Source organism: Homo sapiens, chromosome 14 (assembly GCF_000001405.40).
Source record: "Homo sapiens chromosome 14, GRCh38.p14 Primary Assembly".
In the NCBI taxonomy this organism is placed as follows: Eukaryota; Metazoa; Chordata; class Mammalia; order Primates; family Hominidae; genus Homo; species Homo sapiens.
Genome location: NC_000014.9, coordinates 71,414,272 through 71,432,750, shown reverse-complemented (window position 1 = coordinate 71,432,750; position 18,479 = coordinate 71,414,272). Strand labels below are relative to the sequence as shown.

At 37.7% G+C, this 18,479-nt stretch overlaps 1 protein-coding gene across 53 annotated transcripts in view; it reads right to left on the bottom strand.

Annotated features, from left to right (window-relative positions):
* SIPA1L1 (signal induced proliferation associated 1 like 1) overlaps positions 1-18,479 on the bottom strand; it is a 420,734-nt gene that overhangs the window by 308,459 nt on the left and 93,796 nt on the right. For 26 of the 53 annotated variants that reach the window (XM_047431217.1, XM_047431218.1, XM_047431251.1 and 23 more), the window contains one exon: positions 14,555-14,621. The exons of 26 other annotated variants lie outside the window; for them this stretch is intronic. The gene's annotated coding sequence lies outside the window, so the exon portion shown is untranslated. Of the gene's footprint in view, positions 1-14,554; positions 14,668-18,479 lie in introns of all 53 variants that reach the window. One more of the 53 variants, XM_047431227.1, reaches the window with a different exon arrangement.

Here is an 18,479-nt window from a genome sequence, read left to right as displayed (position 1 = left end):
TTGTTCATTCTGTTGAGGTGCAGAAAACAATACCCCAAAATGAAGGTCTCAGAAGCAAACGCTTTTCTCTGACCTTCTCCTGCCCTCCTGTCTCTCAGTCCCACTCTCTGCTGAGGCTGACCATAGAAACTGGAATCCCTCTTTCCCAAGGCAGATCATAGAAACCAGAAATCCCTTTCCTCAGAGCTAGTCATAAAACATAAATACATTACTATAACTTTCCCTCCACCTTTCTGTGTAAATACTGGCCATAAAGAAATTATCTGACTACCTTGTGTGATTGTAGGTTGTTAGGCCCCCATTCTAGAGAAGGTTGTGCCTCAGACCCCGAGGGAAGGAATTCATGCTCAGAGAGGCCAACAAGAATCTAGATAGGCAGGCCAGGCACAGTGGCTTATGCTTGTAATCTCAACAATCTGGGAGGCCGAGGCAGGAGGATTGCTTGAGCCCAGGAGTTCAAGACCAACCTGGCAACATAGTAAGGCCTCATCTCTACAAAAAATAAAAAATTAGTCAGGCAAGGTGGCACAGGTCTAGAGTCCCAGCTACTCCGGAGGCTGAAACAGGTGGATTGCTTGAGCCCAAGAGTTTGAGGCTGCAGTGAGCTGTGATCACGCCAATGTACTCTAGCCTGGGCTACAGAGACAAGATCCTTTCTCAAAAATTAAAAAAAAGAAAAAGAAAAAAAGAAAGCAAGAAGCACCACCTAGACAGGCCCTGCTGAGTTTCCCCACTCAACTGATTACCATTTAATCACCTCCTTTTTGTCAAAGCCTATTTCTACACGGCTGTCTATACTCTGTTGAACCTAAGCATAAAAATAGACAATTTCCCTGTATCTTTGGGTTTTCATTTTGAAAGCTTCTGTGTACACACATTAAATAAATTTGCATGCCTTTTCTCCAATTAATCTGCCTTTTCTGAGTTGATTTTCTATCAAACCTTCAGAGAGGCCAAGAGGAGCCCTCCCTTGGCCCTTATAGTTCATTCATGTTAAGGATTATGAAGTCCAACTTGGCTTTCATGTGATTTATTTTTATTTATTTATTTATTTTCTAGACACTATCTTGCCTCTGTTGCCCAGGCTGGAGTACAGTGGTGCAATCACAGCTCACTACAGCCTTGACCTCCCAGACTCAAGCAATCCTCCCACCTCAGCCTCCCAAGTAGCTGGAAGTACAGGCATGCTCCACCATACCTAGCTAATTTTTGTATTTTTTTGTAGAGACTAGGTCTCACGATGTTGCCCAGGCTGGTCTCGAACTCCTGGACTCACGCGATTCTCCTGCCTCAGCCTCCCAAGTGCTGATATTACAGCTGAGAGCCACCACACCCAGCCTCATGTAATCTTTTATGTACTAGTTAAGTCCACATATAACTACTTCTGTGAGTTATCTTTAGGAGTGTATACTGCTACTTGACATTTTTACTTTATTTGCCTCTTTTCATAGTGTGGAAGAAAGCACAGTAGGGGAAAGTTGCAAGAATATTCACCCATATGAAAAGATGTGAATTAGCAGTGGGTGGTTTTCTTCTAACTTATTTAACATAATCCTTAGCTCTGGACTACTAGCTTGAAAGCTGATTGTATGAAAAGCAGAACAAGGATCTGTGAGTAGGAGTTAACATGCTAAAAGCATATCGTGCATTTAATTATCTCATCAACTGAAACTGTCCCTTTCAAAATACACAAATAACACTGCGCTGCTAACAAATTTGTTCTCAAGAAGTTTTTTTTCCCTAAATAACAAAAAATATAAGTGTATATGTATATCTATATAGGACCTTTATAATAATATCAATAATAGGTCCTTCACATTTCCACAGTGAAGGATAAAACTGAGTTGATCAGGATTTGAAATACCCATCTTTAAGGATGAACTAGAAAAGCCTCCCTGAGGAAATGAATTTGAATGTGTTTCAAAGGGAGGGCAAGGTGACTTGACAGGTGGTGAAAAGAAAGAGAAATTGCAAGCAAGGAAAATGCCCTGTGCAAAAGCTGCCCCTGTGGTTTCTCAAGAAGCAGAGTCGCAAAGTGATCCCACAACTGAGAAAGATATTAGTTAAGCACAAACAAAAGGGAGAGAAGCTACACATTATGTGACACTCAGCCTCAGTTTTCTCATCTGTTATAGGAGAAGGCTGGATTAAGTGATTTCTCTGGTCCCGTGCAGCTTGTTTCCTATGAGGCACTGCACTGACAACCTCATGCTCCCAAAAACCCTGCTGGGCTCCTGGCTTATTAGCCCCATTTGTTAGATGAATAGAGTGAGGCTCAGAATACTGATGAGATCTCCAGCTAGAGGATTGTAGAGATAAAATGGAACAGACGTAACTATTGTGGAGAAAGAAGTGGCATATGAAGACTGATAACTTCAAAAACCAAAGCTTCTGAAAATAATTTATTGATAAAATAAGTATTACAGTTTTTTATTTTCTTAAAAGATCAAAAGGAAGAAAGAAATATTCCCCATCATACCAGACAACCATGCAAAAAAAAAGGAAAAGAATAAATACCATTCTTACTTTGAAACCAACAGTCCTTTAAGGGAAACTAGAGGAGGTGGTGTGCCTATTTCTGCCCAGCAGTAGCTCTCATTTAATTATGTATTCCCTCTGCCTGTGGTGTCCATAATGAGGTAGGTGTGATGCTGAATATACAACACATCCCTCAGCCATTAGAACACAGATTAGCAGTTAACTGAAGAAGTCTTCCAAACTTCAGAAGCACTTAAGACAACCCTCACACCTAGCTTTACCCCCAATGCACAGATTGTAAAACAAGGTGTTACTTTTACATAAAAGCTCAATGGTAATTATAGTAATTTACCTGCAATTATTCAACAGCAGAATTCTTTATTTCTAAATAAATTCACATCTGATAGCAAAATACAGTGCAATGAATAAAACTAGCCTTCAACTTCAAAGCCAAATATTATAAGCTAATGAGATCTACCTATTTGTAAATATACATCAGGTCTTCAAACACAGTTCCTATCCTGTACCATTTCTCCACATATAAACATATAGGACTAAAGAACCTATCCTCTGCTGATGGAAGCCACTTAGATAAAGCAATTCGAGAGTGTCTATTACAATATCCCATGACCTGACAACTGCATAGAGAAACATGCCCATATACACAGAGCCAAGGACAAGGATGTTGCCTGCAGCCTTGTTTATAATCAGGAACTATCAGAAACAATCTAGAAGTTCAGCAATGGGAAAAATGAAGAAAAAAAAAATCAATCCCCATGACTAGGCAGCAGTTAAAAAGGATGAACTGGGATTATATGAACCAACATGAATACCTATCCAAAGCCAGTTGTTGAATAAAAAAAAAAAATTACAGATATTAAATACAATGGCAATTATGTGAAGTTTCTAAAATACAAAAATACAATGCTTTTATATTATAAATAAAAATAAAAGTACCAAATCAACAAACTGTTTACCAGTGGAGAGCAAGCCAGAGAACCAGGACGAGGGAAGTGGGGAGGAAACAGGCACTCAAACCTTATAAATGGACTAATTTATTACTTCTATTAAAAAATTAATCTTGAAAAAATGTCCCACAAAAACAAAATGTTATCAAGTGACTTGGGATTAAATAATACGGTGAAATAAAAATAATATCTCAGCAACTATTACTAAATTAAAATGAAATTGAGGAGCAGGTTCTGGGATGATCACAGAGTAGCAAGTATCAGGAATCTGTCTTCCCGCCCAGACAATAGATGCACTGGCAGAATCTATCCAAAATAATTATTTTGGAGCTGTGGAATCTATGGAAAACTTGCAACTTCTAGCAGAAAGCCTGAACAGTTCATTGAGGTTATTTTCATTTAATTTTGGCTCTTACCGTAGTTGCAGCTACCCATCATCTACCCCAAGTCCTGGGGCAGGTAGCTGGGCACACATTTCCTAGAGTAGTTTGCACACAGCTGGCAAGAGCCAGGATGGGCAAAAAGGACCCTGCCCTCTAAATATCAGGGATCTGTGCTCTAATGGCTGACTGCTGCTTCTGATCACAAAAGTGCAAAGAGGCCACTGTTGTTGAACCTCCCCTCTTGCAGGAAGCCCCTCCTTTTTGACCAAAGGGACTTCAGGGCATTTAACAGGCCAGAGCCCTTCTCCCCAACCCCCATTCAATTTTCTCTTTACCCCTTTTAAGGGCCAGACATTAAAGACTAGGCCATTCAAAAGCAACCACATATATGGGGAAAATTAGAACGTGACCATGCATGGTCAGGGAAAGGTGCAGACTCAGAAAATATCTGAAAAGACCTTAAATTTACACATCAGATTGATCATCAGCACACAGACAGCCTACAATAAAAATAAAAATAAAAATAAAACCAGTAAAAAAGAAAAAAAAAACCGCAAATCATAAGGAAGGGGGAGAATCTGATTTCCAGAGTTGGCACATTATGAGATTAAAATGTCCAGTTTTCAGCCAGGCATGGTTGCTCATGCCTGTAATCCCAGCATTTTGGGAGGCTGAGGTGGGGGGAATCACCTGAGGTCAGGAGTTCGAGACCAGCCTGGCCAACATGGCAAACAAAACCCCATCACTACTAAAAATACAAAAATTAGCAGGCACAGTGGCACACACCTATAGTCCCAGCTGCTTGGGAGGCTGAGGCAGGAGAATCGCTTGAATCTGGGAGGTGGAGGCTGCAGTGAGTCAAGATCACACCACCGCACTCCATCTCAAAAAAATGAGACTCCATCTCAAAAAAAATAAAAATAAAAAAATAAAGTGTCCAGTTTTCAACAACAACAACAAAATCACAAGAAACACAAACAGGAAAATACTGCCCATTCAAAGGAAAAAATAAATTAAAAACTGACCCTGAAAAATACTTGTTGGCAGATTTACTAGACAAAAACAACCATGTTAAAGATAAACAAAGAACTAAAGGAAGATGTAGAGAAACTTAAAAAAAAATTCATAAGCAAAATGAAAATATTCATAAAGAGATGCAAAATCCAGAAAAAAATTTTTGAAGTTGAAATGCACAATAGAAATGAAAAATCCACTGAGGGAATCAAAGGCAGATTTGAGGATGCAGAAGAAAGAATCAGTGAACCTGAAGAGAGGACAATGAAAATGATCAAGTCTGAGAAACAGGAAGAAGACTGTAGAAAAGTGAGCAGAGCCAGGGGACCTATGGGACACCATCAAGCTAAGCAACACATACATTGTGAGAGTTCCAAAAGGAGACAAGAAAACTCAAAGAGACCCCCATTGATACACATTATAATATCTTTCTAAAGACAAAGATAGAATCTTGAAAGCAGCAGGAGAAAAGCAACTCATCACATACAAAGGATCCTCCTAAGATTATTAGCAGTTTTCTCATCAGAAACTTTGGAGGCCAAAAGGCAGTAGGAAGATATATTCAAAGTGCAAAAAACAAACAAACAAACCTATCAACCAGAATGTTATTCTGTCAAAACTGTCCTTCAAAAGTGGGTGCGAAATGAAGACATTCTCAGACAAAAAAAAAAGCTGAGAAAGTTGACTACCATTAGACCCGTCTTGCAAGAAATGATAAAAGAAGTCCCTGCAGGGTAAAAATAAAAGGACACTAAAAAGTAACTTGCAGCCACATAAAGAAATAAAGACTTCAATAAAAGAAAATGCAGGAGCAATTATAAAAGTATCATTGTAAAAACAGTCTGTAACTGCATTTTTTGTTTGCTCTGTGATTTAAGAGACTAAACTTTCTCTAAAAATTTAGTCTAAAAGGTAGTGCTATTAGTTACAATGCCACATTTTGTTTTCTACATGGTTTAAGAAATGAATGCACTAATCTCTTATTAGTTCATTATTACTTTATGTTTTTGAGCACACAAGGTATAAAGATGTAATTCTGTGACATCAACAGTGAAAAAGGTGGTGCCTGAACTATTAGAGGAAGAGAGTTTATGTAGTTAAGCTGGTATAAATTCAGGCTGGGTGCAGTGGTTTACAACTGTAATCCCAGCACTTTGGGAGGCCAGGGCAGGCAGATCATTTGAGGTCAAGAGTTTGAGACCAGCTTGGCCAACATGGTGAAACCCCGTCTATACTAAAAATACAAAAAAATTAGCTGGGCATGGTGGTGCACGCATGTAATCCCAGCTACTCAGGAGGCTGAGGCAGGAGAATCGCTTGAACCTGGGAGGCAGAGGTTGCAGTAAGCCAAGATCATACCACTTGCACTCCAGCCTATGCAACAGAGTGAGACTCTGTCTTTGGGAAAAAAAAAAAAAAAAGAAAGAAATTCAAATTAGGGTATTATGACTTTAGAATGTTAAATGTAATTCCTATGGTAACCACAAAGAAAATACCTACAGAATACAAACAAGAAAAAAAAAATTTTAAAGGTTTCACTAAAAACAAACAAACAAACAAATACAAAAGTCAACAGTTAATGCTAGAAATAAGGAACCAAAAAGCTACAAGGCATGTAGAAAACAAATAGCAACATGACAAAAGTGCCTCCTTATCAGTCATTACTTTAAATGTAAATGGATTAAACTCTCTAATCAAAAAAGACAGAGAATGGTAGAACAGATAAAAACAACCTCTGATAGACAAAGGACATGTGTTTAAAGATTAAAAAATTAAAAAACATGATCCAACTATATGCTATCTACAAGAGGCTCACTTTAGATCCAAAGACACAAACAGATTCTAAGTGCAGTAATAAAACGATTATTTCGTGCAAATAGTCACCAAAAGAAAGCAAGGATGGTTATACTAATACCTAACAAAATAGATTTTAGGTCAAAAACGCTTACATTAAACAAAAAAAGGACATTATATAGTAACAAAAAATACAATATAGCAAGATATAACCATTATAAAAATTTATTCACCTAACTATCAAAATATCTAAAATAAATCTAAAATAAAACCAAAGAGAGAAATAGACCATTCTACAATAATAGTTGGAGACATCAATACCCCATTCTCAATAATGGATGGAACAACTGGACTGGATACAAGGAAACAGAGGACTCAAAAAACACAAGAAACCAACTGAACTAACAGGTATATACAGAACACTCCAAGAACAGTATACACATTCTTCTTAAAAGCATATGGGATATTTTCCAGGACAAGCCATATACTAAGCCACAAATTAAGTCTCAACAGATTTTCAAAGATGCCACATAAAATGTCTTCTGCAATCACAACACGATGAAGTTAGAAATTAATAAGAAGTAAAACTATTTCCACAAAACACAAAATTGTAGGATACTGAACAACATATTCTTAACCAATAGATCAAAGGAGAAATCACAGGGGAAATTAGAAAATACTTAAGACTTGAACAAAAATGAAAACACAAATGCCAAAACTTATGGGACACAGCAAAGGCAGTGCTGAGAGGAAAATTCACAGCTATAAATGTTTACATTAAAAGACAAAATCTCAAGTCAAAAACCTAACTTTAAGAACAAACTAAACCCAAAGCTCACAGAAAGAAGGAGTAGAGATAAACTAAACAAAAGAAAAACAACAGAGAAAATTAAGGAAACAGAAGTTGGTTCTTTGGAAATATCAACAAAATTGACAAATATTTACTGAGATGTACTCACACACACAAAAAGGGAAGATTCAAATTACTAAAATCAAAAATGAAAGTGGGGACATTACTACTGATTCTACAGAAATAAAAAGGCTTATAAGAGTGCACTATGAAGAACTGTATGCAAAAAAACTGGATAACCTAGAAAAAATGGATTCCTAGAAATACAAAATGTTACCAACATTAAATTATGAAGAAACAGAAAACCTAAGAGATATAACTAGTACAGAGATTAAATCAGTAATAAAAAAAATCTCTCAAAAAAGAAAAGTTCTGAACCTAATGGCTTCACTGGTAAATTTTACCAAACAAATAAGGAACTAACACCAATCCCTCTCAAATTTCCATATAATTGAAGAGGAGGGAACACTTCTTAACTCATTATCTGATGCCAGTATTACCCTAAGACCAAAACCAGATGAAGATACTACAAGAAAATTGGAGACCATTATCTCTAATGAATACCGATGCAAAAATCCTCAACAAAATATTGGCAAACTGAATTCAGCAGCATAGTAAAAGGATTATACACCATGACCAAGTGGGATCTATTCCTGGAATACAAGGATGGCTCAACATACAAAGATCATACACCACATTAACAGAATGAAGAGATGAAATATCCCATATGACCATCTGAATTGATGCAGAAAAAGCATCTGTTAAAATTCAACACCCTTTCATGATAAAAACATTCAATAAACTAGGAATAGAAAGAAACTACCTCAATAAAATAAAAGCAACATATGAAAAACCAGTTGCAAACATCATGTCTATAATGAAAGTCTAAAATAAAAGCTTTTCCTCTAACATCACGAACAAGGCAAGAATGCATGCTTTCATCACTTCTATTCAACCTAGTACAGGAAGTTCCACCAGAGCATTTAGGCAAGAAAGAGAAATAAAAGGCATTCTAACTGGAAAAGAAGTAAAATTACTTCTGTCCACAGGTGATATAATCTTACATGTGGAAAACCCAAAAGGTTCCACAAAAAACTGTTAGAACTAATAAATGAATTCAGCAACATAGCAGGAGACAAAGTCTACATACAAAAATCAGTTGCATTTCTATATACTTATCAATGGACAATCTTAAAAGGACATTACAAAAACGCATCAAAAGAATAAAATACCTAGGAATTAAACAAGGAAGTGAAAGACTTGTACAATGAAAACTACAAAACACTGCTGAAAGAAGTTAAAAGAAATAAATAGAAGCACTTTCCATGTTCAAGGACTGAAAGGTTTGATATTAAGATAGCAATATTACCCAAAACAACATACAGATGTAATACAATCCCTATCAAAATCCCAATGATATGTTTGCATAAATAAGAAAAACAATTCTAAAATTTACATGAAATGTTAGGGGACCCAAATAGCCACAATGATCCTGAAAAGGAACAAAGCAGGAAGACTCATACTTTCTGATTTCAAAACTTACTACAACGCTATGGTAATCAAAACAATATGGTACTGGCATAAAGACAGACTCAGACACCAATGGAATAGAATACAGAGCCCAGAATAAGCTTTTGCATACATGGTGAAATGATTTTTGACAAGAGCGCCAAGACCATTCAATGGGGAAAGGACAGTCCTTTCAACAAATGGTGCTGGGAAAACTGCATATGCAAAAGAATACAGTTAGGTGAATACTACTTACAAAAATTAACTCAAATGAATGAAAAACTTAAATGTAAGACCTAAAACTATAAAGCTCTCACAGGAAAACATAAGGTAGAAGCTATACAGCACTGGCTTTGGCAATGTTTTCTTAGATATGACATTAAAGGCATATATAACAAAATTAAAAAACAGATAAATTGGACTTCATGAAAATTTTAAAATTTTGTGCATCAAAAGACACTATCAACAGACTAAAAAAGGCAACACACAGAATGGGAGAAAATATTTTCAAATCATATTCATATATCTGACAAGGGATTAACATCACAGCTATATAAAGAACTGTAACTCAACAACAAAACAAACAACTTGATTCAAAAATGGGCAAAGATCTTGGATAAACATTTCTCCAAAAAAGATATTAAAATGGCCAATAAGCACATAAAAAAATGTTCGACATCACTAAGCATTAGAGAAATACAAATCAAAATTACGAGGTGCCACCTCATACCCATTACAATGGCAACTATCAAAAAACCAGAAAATACGTATTGGCAAGGATGTGAAGAAACTGGAATCTTTGTGCACTGTTGGTAGGAATGTAAAATGGTACAGCCACTGTGAAGAAAAGATTATGGCAGTTCATCAAAATTTTTTAATAGAACTACCAGATGATCCAATGATTCTACTTCTGGGTATTTACCAACAAAATTCAAAGCAGAGTCTCAAAGAGATATTTGTACACTCATTTTCACAGCAACATTCTTCACAATAGCTAAAAGGCGGAAGCCACCCAAGTGTCCATCGATGGATGAATGGATAAGCAAAATGTGGTATACACATACAACAGAATATTATTCCGCTTTATAAAGAAGGAAATTCTTACACATGCTACAACACAGATGAATCTTCAGACATTATGGTAAGTGAAATAAGCCAGTCACCAAAAAGACAAATAATGTATGATGATTTCACTTATATGAAGTGCTTCAAGTAGCCTAAATCATTGAGACAGAAAGCAGAATGATGGACATCAGGGCCTGGGCAGTGGTAGGAATGGGGAGTTACTGTTTAATGAGTACAGAATTTCAGTTTTACTGAAATGAAAAGAGTTATGAAGATGGATGGTGGTGACAGCTGGACAACATTATTAATGTATTTAATACCAACGAACTGTACGGTGAAAATGGTTAAGATGTTATATGTATTGTTTCATATTTTTAAAAAAGGAAAAAGCAACAACAAATAAAAGTTAAAATAACTACAAAAGGTCTAATCAAATGGAAGAATACAAACTACCATAGGGATAATTATAACATCATAAATGAAGCTGACTCTGTCTACTTAAATGGCCACATGAAGCTTCAGCTGGTATAATTATTATAGGTATGAGCCAACACACATATCTCTTTCCCAGGCTAAAAGTTTGGCAATAACTGAAAGACGTCCTCATATACAACTGTTAAAAATGTTAGCATCACTAAGTAAAAACGTCATACTCCATTTTAACGACTAAGAATCCTTTCCCACTGTGCTGGGATTACAGTGGCCTAGTTTATATGAGAATGTAAGCTTAACATTTTAATAAAGTTCAGCAACAATAATTATGAGTCCCCTTCTTGCGGTAAATCTCCAGAAAATCACGGCCTGGGTGAGCACCATTTACCTCCCTCTACTTTCAGCCCTGTCAAGGAACCATCAGGCAGGCTGTCTTTTACACAACCATCTTCTACATTCCCCAGGAAAAACCAAATGGACTTTCAATCCAGGTAATTGCATCTCCAATATTATATCCAACCATAACAGCTACTGGAATAAAAAAGAAAGGAAGAAAGGGAGGGAGGGAGTCAAGGAGGAAAGAAATAACCAATCTGTTGTTATAATATATATCATTAATGTAAGCTTTACCTATTTTATTATTTTATTTTATAATTTTTTTAAGAATAAGGTCTCACTCTGTCACCCAGGATGGAGTACAGTAGAGTGATTATAGCTCACTGCCTTCAACTCCTGGGCTCAAGCCATCCTCCCACCTTAGGCTCCCAAGAAGCTGGGACTACAAGCAAACACCACCATACCTGCCTACCTTTTTTTTTCTCGTTTTTGTAGAGATGGGGGTCTCACTATGTTGCCCAGGCTGGTCTCAAACCCCTGGCCTCAAGCAATCCTCCTGCCTCAGCCTCCCAAAGCACTGGGGTTACAGGCGTGAGCCACCATGCCTGGCCAGATTTACTTTAAATATAATCAACTACATCTTTCTCATTTTAGTTACTATTATTCCATAAGATTTAACAGAAAATAAAAACTAATTGAAGAAGAGTAAATAATAGAAAAATGTCCTCATTCAATCGTTAAGTATAAAAAGTAGCTCATAAAACAGTATGCGCAATATGATCTTAATTTTGCTTTTAAAACATATCTTTGATCACAAAGAAGAACAAAACTGAAAGAAAACTATTAAAGTGACACAGGACAAATGACCCCATTTCTTCCACAACAAATTACATGAAAAAAGGGAGAGAAGAGAAAATGCTACAGATTAAGAAAGACTTAAAAGAGACACGTGCGATGTGTGAAGGCTGCTTGGATCCTGATTCCCACAAACCAACGGTAAACTGACAATTTTGAAACAATAGAGAAAACATGGACTAGGGCTTACACGACTAGCTAGAGTACATAGTAAGTTTGTTAATGGTGATGACATTGCTGCTATTTTTTTAAGTGCTTCTCTGTTAACAAAAAATGACTGAAGTATTTATAAGTTAAATAGTATAATATCTGAAACTCCAACAAAAAAAAACACAAAAGCAGGAGAAAGACAGACAGAATGGCAAAATGTCCCTGTCCATGACTGTGGAAGCTAGATGATAAGTATATGGGGGCTCACTGCACTTTTCTCTCTACTTCTATGCATGTTTGGAAAATTCCATAGATAATAAGTAAAAGTGATAGCAGAGATAGTTACTTCTGGATGTTAGTGAAGACTGAGTGATCTGGTGGGAATTAGGTGATTTTTACTTTGATCTGTGTGCCATTAAGAACATCCAAGATTTTACACAACAAAGATGAGTTGCTTTGGTTACCTAAAAAACCAAATGTTACTCCTTTAGTAGACAGATAGATGGGTAGATAGGCAGACAGACAGTCAGATGGCCTTTCAATGCCCTGTTCGAATAATGCCACCTTCATGGATTCAATCCTCCCTCTATAAATGCCTCAATGCATTTACCTATATTTCTACTAAAGGCCTTATTATGTTTGGTCATTTATTATGACCATTTCCAACTATGTCTAATTCTCCTCTAGAAAAATAACTTGATTACGAGGAGGCATTTCTTTTTCATATTTCTATCCTGGCTAATACTAAGCAAAATGTTCTCTACATAATAGATATAAAATAATTATTTGCTTAATTAACTTTTCCACTAATAAATCCAGGGAAGAAACGATGTCAACAAACACAGAATATCTACCTTATAACTACAAAAGCTTTAAGGTTTTTGTTTTGTTTTTTTGAGACAGGGTCTTGCTTTGTCACCCAGGCTGGAGTGCAGTGGTGTGATCATGGCCCATTGCACCCTCAACTTCCCAAGCTCAAGCAATCCTCCCACCTCAGCCTTCCAAGTAGCTGGGACTACAGGTGCATGCCACCATGTCCAGCTAATTTTTTTTTAAGAGATGGGGTCTCACTATGTTGCCCAGGTTAGTTTTGAACTCTTTGCCTCAAGAGATCCTCCTTGGCCGGGCGCGGTGGCTCACATCTGTAATCCCAGCACTTTGGGAGGCCGAGGCAGGTGGATCATGAGGTCAGGAGATCAAGACCATCCTGGCTAACAAGGTGAAACCCCGTCTCTACTAAAAATACAAAAAATTAGCCGGGCGTGGTGGCGGGCACCTGTAGTCCCAGCTACTCGGGAGGCTGAGGCAGGAGAATGGCGTGAACCCGGGAAGCGGAGCTTGCAGTGAGCCGAGATTGCGCCACTGCAGTCCGCAGTCCGGCCTGGGCGACAGAGCGAGACTCCGTCTCAAAAAAAAAAAAAAAAAAAAAAAAAAAAGAGAGATCCTCCTTGAGCCTTTCAAATTACAGGATTACAGGTGTGGGCCATCACCCCTGGCCCAAAAGCTTTCATTTCAGGCCAGAACAGCCCTGAAAGTCCCTACACAAAGACAGATATTTATCAAATGTTACCTAGTCAATTTCTCAAAACATTTACTTTTCAGTTGACTGGAAAAAAACACTGGTCGGTAGCAGACAAGGGTCAGTTACTGAATTAAGCTATAGACTTAAAAAAAAAAAAAACCCTGAAAGAAAACAAAGTCCGTTAGCTCTACAGCAACCATTCACTATTTAACCTACTGAACGCTCATCCAGAGTGCCAATCAGACCGTTTTAATTAAGGAAACTATTACAGGCAGAACTCAAGGCTAGTCATGTGCTGAGACAGCAACGGTTCAGGAAACACCCCTGCTCTGAGAGGCTGATATCAGGCGGAAGGGCTGCCCACCCATACCACTGTGTTTCCCTTATCATCTACTCACTGAAGACCTTGGCCCATTTTGTGCAGATGTGAGTAGTAATGGCCTTCAAGCCAAGGACATTCAACGCTACATTCTCCTGCTTATTAAAAATCTTTTCCAAAAAGATACAATAAAGCCCTCCCCGCAGGAGCACCAAAAGCTCCAGAACGTGGCATGCTGAACTTCCCCACATTTAAGACTTTACCCACCATATGGCCTTAATTTTCCATACATGGTTTTGGGGAAAGGCACTTAAATACTAGTGAAGACATTTACAACTTCCTCTTATATATAAAATATGCTGAGGGATTGACAAACATTAAAATGAAGTCCAGGTTTTAAAATAAAATCCCCATCACTGTTTCCTAAGCCCTTCGAGAAACATTAGCAATTCATGATCAACTGGCAAATGCAAGCTTCTCCCAAGCTTCTTCTCCAGTTCTGCCGTGTGACCTGCTGTCTCAGAAGCCAGGTCTTCAAAAATGCTCATGTCACCCAACTTTTTAAGTCAAATAGGGACAGTAGGGGGTGGGGCTGAGCTCTGCACAATTCCTACCCTGACCTCCAACTACATCCACATAGTTCATGTTCTCTCTTCTTTATTTTCTGATTCCTTCCTTTAGACTTTTGTTCAAATCCACTATTAGCAAATTTTAAATATATGAGACAGTCAAGAAAGTGGGCAACATGGTACCATTATAAAATTACAATATACTACTATAGACAATCATACCCATGCAGATCTGGGCCCAAAAAAATAATCAGGTATTAAGAAATAAGGCACACCCCTCCAAAGACAACTTAATTCAAATACCTCTTACCATTTGCTCCAGTAGAATGAGTTTAAAAGAGGTAACTATTTGGCATGGGCAGCTGCTCTCTTATGTTCTGGAGAACATAAAAATAAAAGCTGAGTGAGAATAAGTTGTTCCTACTGAAGAGAAAAAGGGTACAACAGCATTAGTAAATACGAAAGAGTCAGATCACCATTCTACTGGCTGATAAAAATGTTTGTTAGGCTAAAGGATTTCCTATCATTTTCTTCTTTAAGAACAAAGAAATGGGCTTTGGATAATAAAAACGTGTAACAAAATAATTCTGAAGTGACCTCAGGCCATGTCAAACTCAATTCAAACTAGTCACAGCCAAAGATGAAAGGAAGATTCTCTAATCATCCCCTAGCTACTATACATTTTTAGTATTTTTATACTGTATTATAGTTAGCATTTAGAAAATAAAACTGTCTAGCACTGTTGACCCTTCAACAATACGAGTTTGAACTGTGCATGTCCACTTAAAAGTGGATTTTTTCAATAACAGTTACACCAAGTGTGCCTGCCTCTCCTGCCTCCCCTTCCTCCTCCTCCACCTCTGCCACTGGAGACAGCAAGACCAATCTCTTCTTTCCCTCCTCCTCATCAGCTTACCCAATGCAAAGACAATGAGGATAAAGACCTTTATGATCCACTTCCATTAATGAATAGCAAATATATTTTCTCTTCTTTAGGATTTTCTTTTTTTTTTTTTTTTTTTTTTTTTTTTTTTTTTGAGACGGAGTCTCGCTGTCGCCCAGGCTGGAGTGCAGTGGCGCAATCTCGGCTCACTGCAGGCTCCGCCCCCTGGGGTTCACGCCATTCTCCTGCCTCAGCCTCCCGAGTAGCTGGGACTACAGGCACCCGCCACCTCGCCCGGCTAATTTTTTGTATTTTTAGTAGAGACGGGGTTTCACCGTGTTAGCCAGGATGGTCTCGATCTCCTGACCTCGTGATCCACCCGCCTCGGCCTCCCAATAGGATTTTCTTAATAACATTTTCTTCTCTCTAGCTTATGTTATTGTAACAACACAGTATATAATACATATAACATACAAAATGCATGTTATTCAACTGTTCATGTTATTGGTAAGGCTTCTGGTCAACTGTAGGCTACTAGTAGTTAAGTTCTGGAGGAGTCGAAAGTTACATGCAGGCCAGGCACGGTGGTTCATGCCTTTATTCCAAGCACTTCAGGAGGCCAACGGAGAAGGATCACTTGAGGTCAGGAGTTCCAGACCAGCCTGGGCAACACAGTGAGACCATGTTTCTATTTAATTTTAAAAACTGTATTTTAAAAGTGTGTTTAAAGGAAAAGAAAAAAGTATGCTTATTCAATTCAGTATTTATATTCTAGAATAATGCTGCTCAAAAAATAATTTAAAAAAGAATGATGGATTTAATAAGGTACACATAAAACTATATATATACAAGGTTGTGTGTGTGTGCATGCGTGTGTGTGTGTGTGTGTGTGTGTGTGTGTGTAGATTTTTCTTTCTTTTAGAGTATAGAAATTGTTTTAGATATCCCTTAAGTAGAGAAATAGCACTTAGGAAGGAAGTATACACTTAGAAGGCGAAGAGTCATGTCACCAACAGGTTGGGAGAACTGTTGAGTCATGGCCTCCTCCTGTGTTGCCTGAGGAGACCTGAGTAAGAATGGATGTATAACAGAAGAATCTCCCACCTGACCTATTAGAGATACTGTACCAGCATTACCAGATATCACTTCTATTAAAAGAAGATATTTCAGTGCCCAGAGGTTCAAGTTATCAAACGAAGCAACTCAATTCAAAAGACAAGGTGTATTAAAACCCATAAAAAAAAAACAAAAACCATTTTTAAGAAATCCTAACAAGTAACTGAAACCCAAAATGCTCTGTCTTGAGTCATGAGATCCATCAGTTCTTGATATTGTCTGGACTTGCATCTAGAGCTAGATTGTAAAATCTTTTTAGGCATGTGTTAGATTTCTGTGAAAACTTTGTTTAAACGTAAACCTCATACCACACTATCAGTTTCTGTGTTAATAAAACTATAGATTTATTATACTAAAAAAAAAAAGAACAAAATACAAGGGGTAGCTGTATGACACAGAAGCTAAACAAGTGCCTGGCCTCACGGTAGTATACAGAACTTAAGGTGCCTGCTCAAAACTGTCATGTTTAAGTTTATCAACCAAGAGTTATTATTAAAATACCATTAATACATCCGGGCATGGTGGCTCACGCCTGTAATTCTAACACTTTGGGAAGCCGAGGCAGGCCGATCATCTGAGGTCAAGAGCTCAAGACAAGCCTAGCCAACATGGCGAAACCTCATCTCTACTAAAAATACAAAAATTAGCTGGGTGTGGAGGCACACGCCTGTAATCCCAGCTACTTGGGAGGCTGAGGCGGGAGAATCGCTTGAACCTGGGAGTTAGAGGTTGCAGTGAGCCGAGATCATGCCATTGCACTCCAGTCTGGGAGACAGAGTGAGATCCCATCTCAAAAAAAAAAAAATAATTAAGACATTTGAGAACTGCACTGAAGGTGCACATTTCAATAACATATAGCTATTCTGGAGGGAAAAAAAAAGTATATCTAGAAAAACAGCTTCCAAGATTGAGGTAAAAATCACAGGGCACTCAATAATATGTACTGACTTTTCTTCCCTCTCGAAGTACCAGAGCAGAGCTACATTCACAGAGCATTCCTGCAGGCTGCTTGCTTCACCATTAAGCAATTCTTGGCAGTTCCAAAGATGTTATGTTTTCAAAGACAGTTTTTCAGTTGTGTTGCTATTATAAGCCTGGATTTTTCAAATGGCTAAAAATTACAGATATCTAAAAATCTTAGATTCCACCTCTATTAAAGAAGAATGATGCTGGGAACGGTCAAATAAATGTAACCCAGAAAAGTGCCCTAATGTACTTTAAAAACATTTTCAGAGATAATGATTCCCAAATTTCCCTTACTGAAATTCAAGGAAGGTCACAAATAGCAAGCCACTTTAAAAGCAGTGCTCCAATTACCCATCCCCTAAGCTCTGCACAAAGGTTTATGGAGGGGAGATGGTCAGATAACTTGACCATCCGTTATAGGATGCAGTCACTCCAGAAGAGCTGACTCCTTAGGAAATTTTCTTCTGACAAAGCAACAAATGAGAAAAACTCCAAGGTCTTTGTTTCAGCATCTGGCTGAGATCAAGGTTAAGTATAATGAAACCTATACAACCCCAGAATTTAACATATGACAGTATTTTTGGCCTGTATAAAATACGTCTCCCTTAATCTGCATTAAGCTGTTGTTTTTCTCAATAAAAGAATATCCTTTTGTAATTGTTTAAAATGTTTAAGAAATGAGTAAGCCAGTACAGTCACTCGAAGAGCAATAGTAATGCATATACCAGTATACGTCAGTCAAAGGGTAGATCATCTGATCATTTCTCAATTATTCAGGAAAAGCCTGGCACCCCAAACTATACACCAATGCATTAGAGTTAACAAGATTCTTAGAACATGGGTTGAAGTATAAGCTCTCACCTAATTTCAAGAAACATAGAGAAGATTTTAAATGCATTCACTATGGAGGGAAAACATAAACATGTAACAGAAAACCTTCTTAAGTAGCCAGAAAATTATCCAAACTATTTCATCTGCAAAGATGACAACAATGAATTCAGAAATCAATGACTAAAACTGCACAAGCATTTCCCATATTTTCCTTTTCCACTTCAAAAAGGGAAAAGCCAGTGGGCAGAAAATATCGGACATTTGATAAATCAAAATTCTGCTATAAAGAGCAGGGTTTTTTGTTTTTGTTTTTGTTTTTGTTTTTTTTCCCTGAGATGGAGTCTCGCCCTGTCCCCCAGGCTGGAGTGCAATGGCACAATCTCGGCTCACTGCAACCTCCACCTCCTGGGTTCTAGCAATTCTCCTGCCTCAGCCTCCC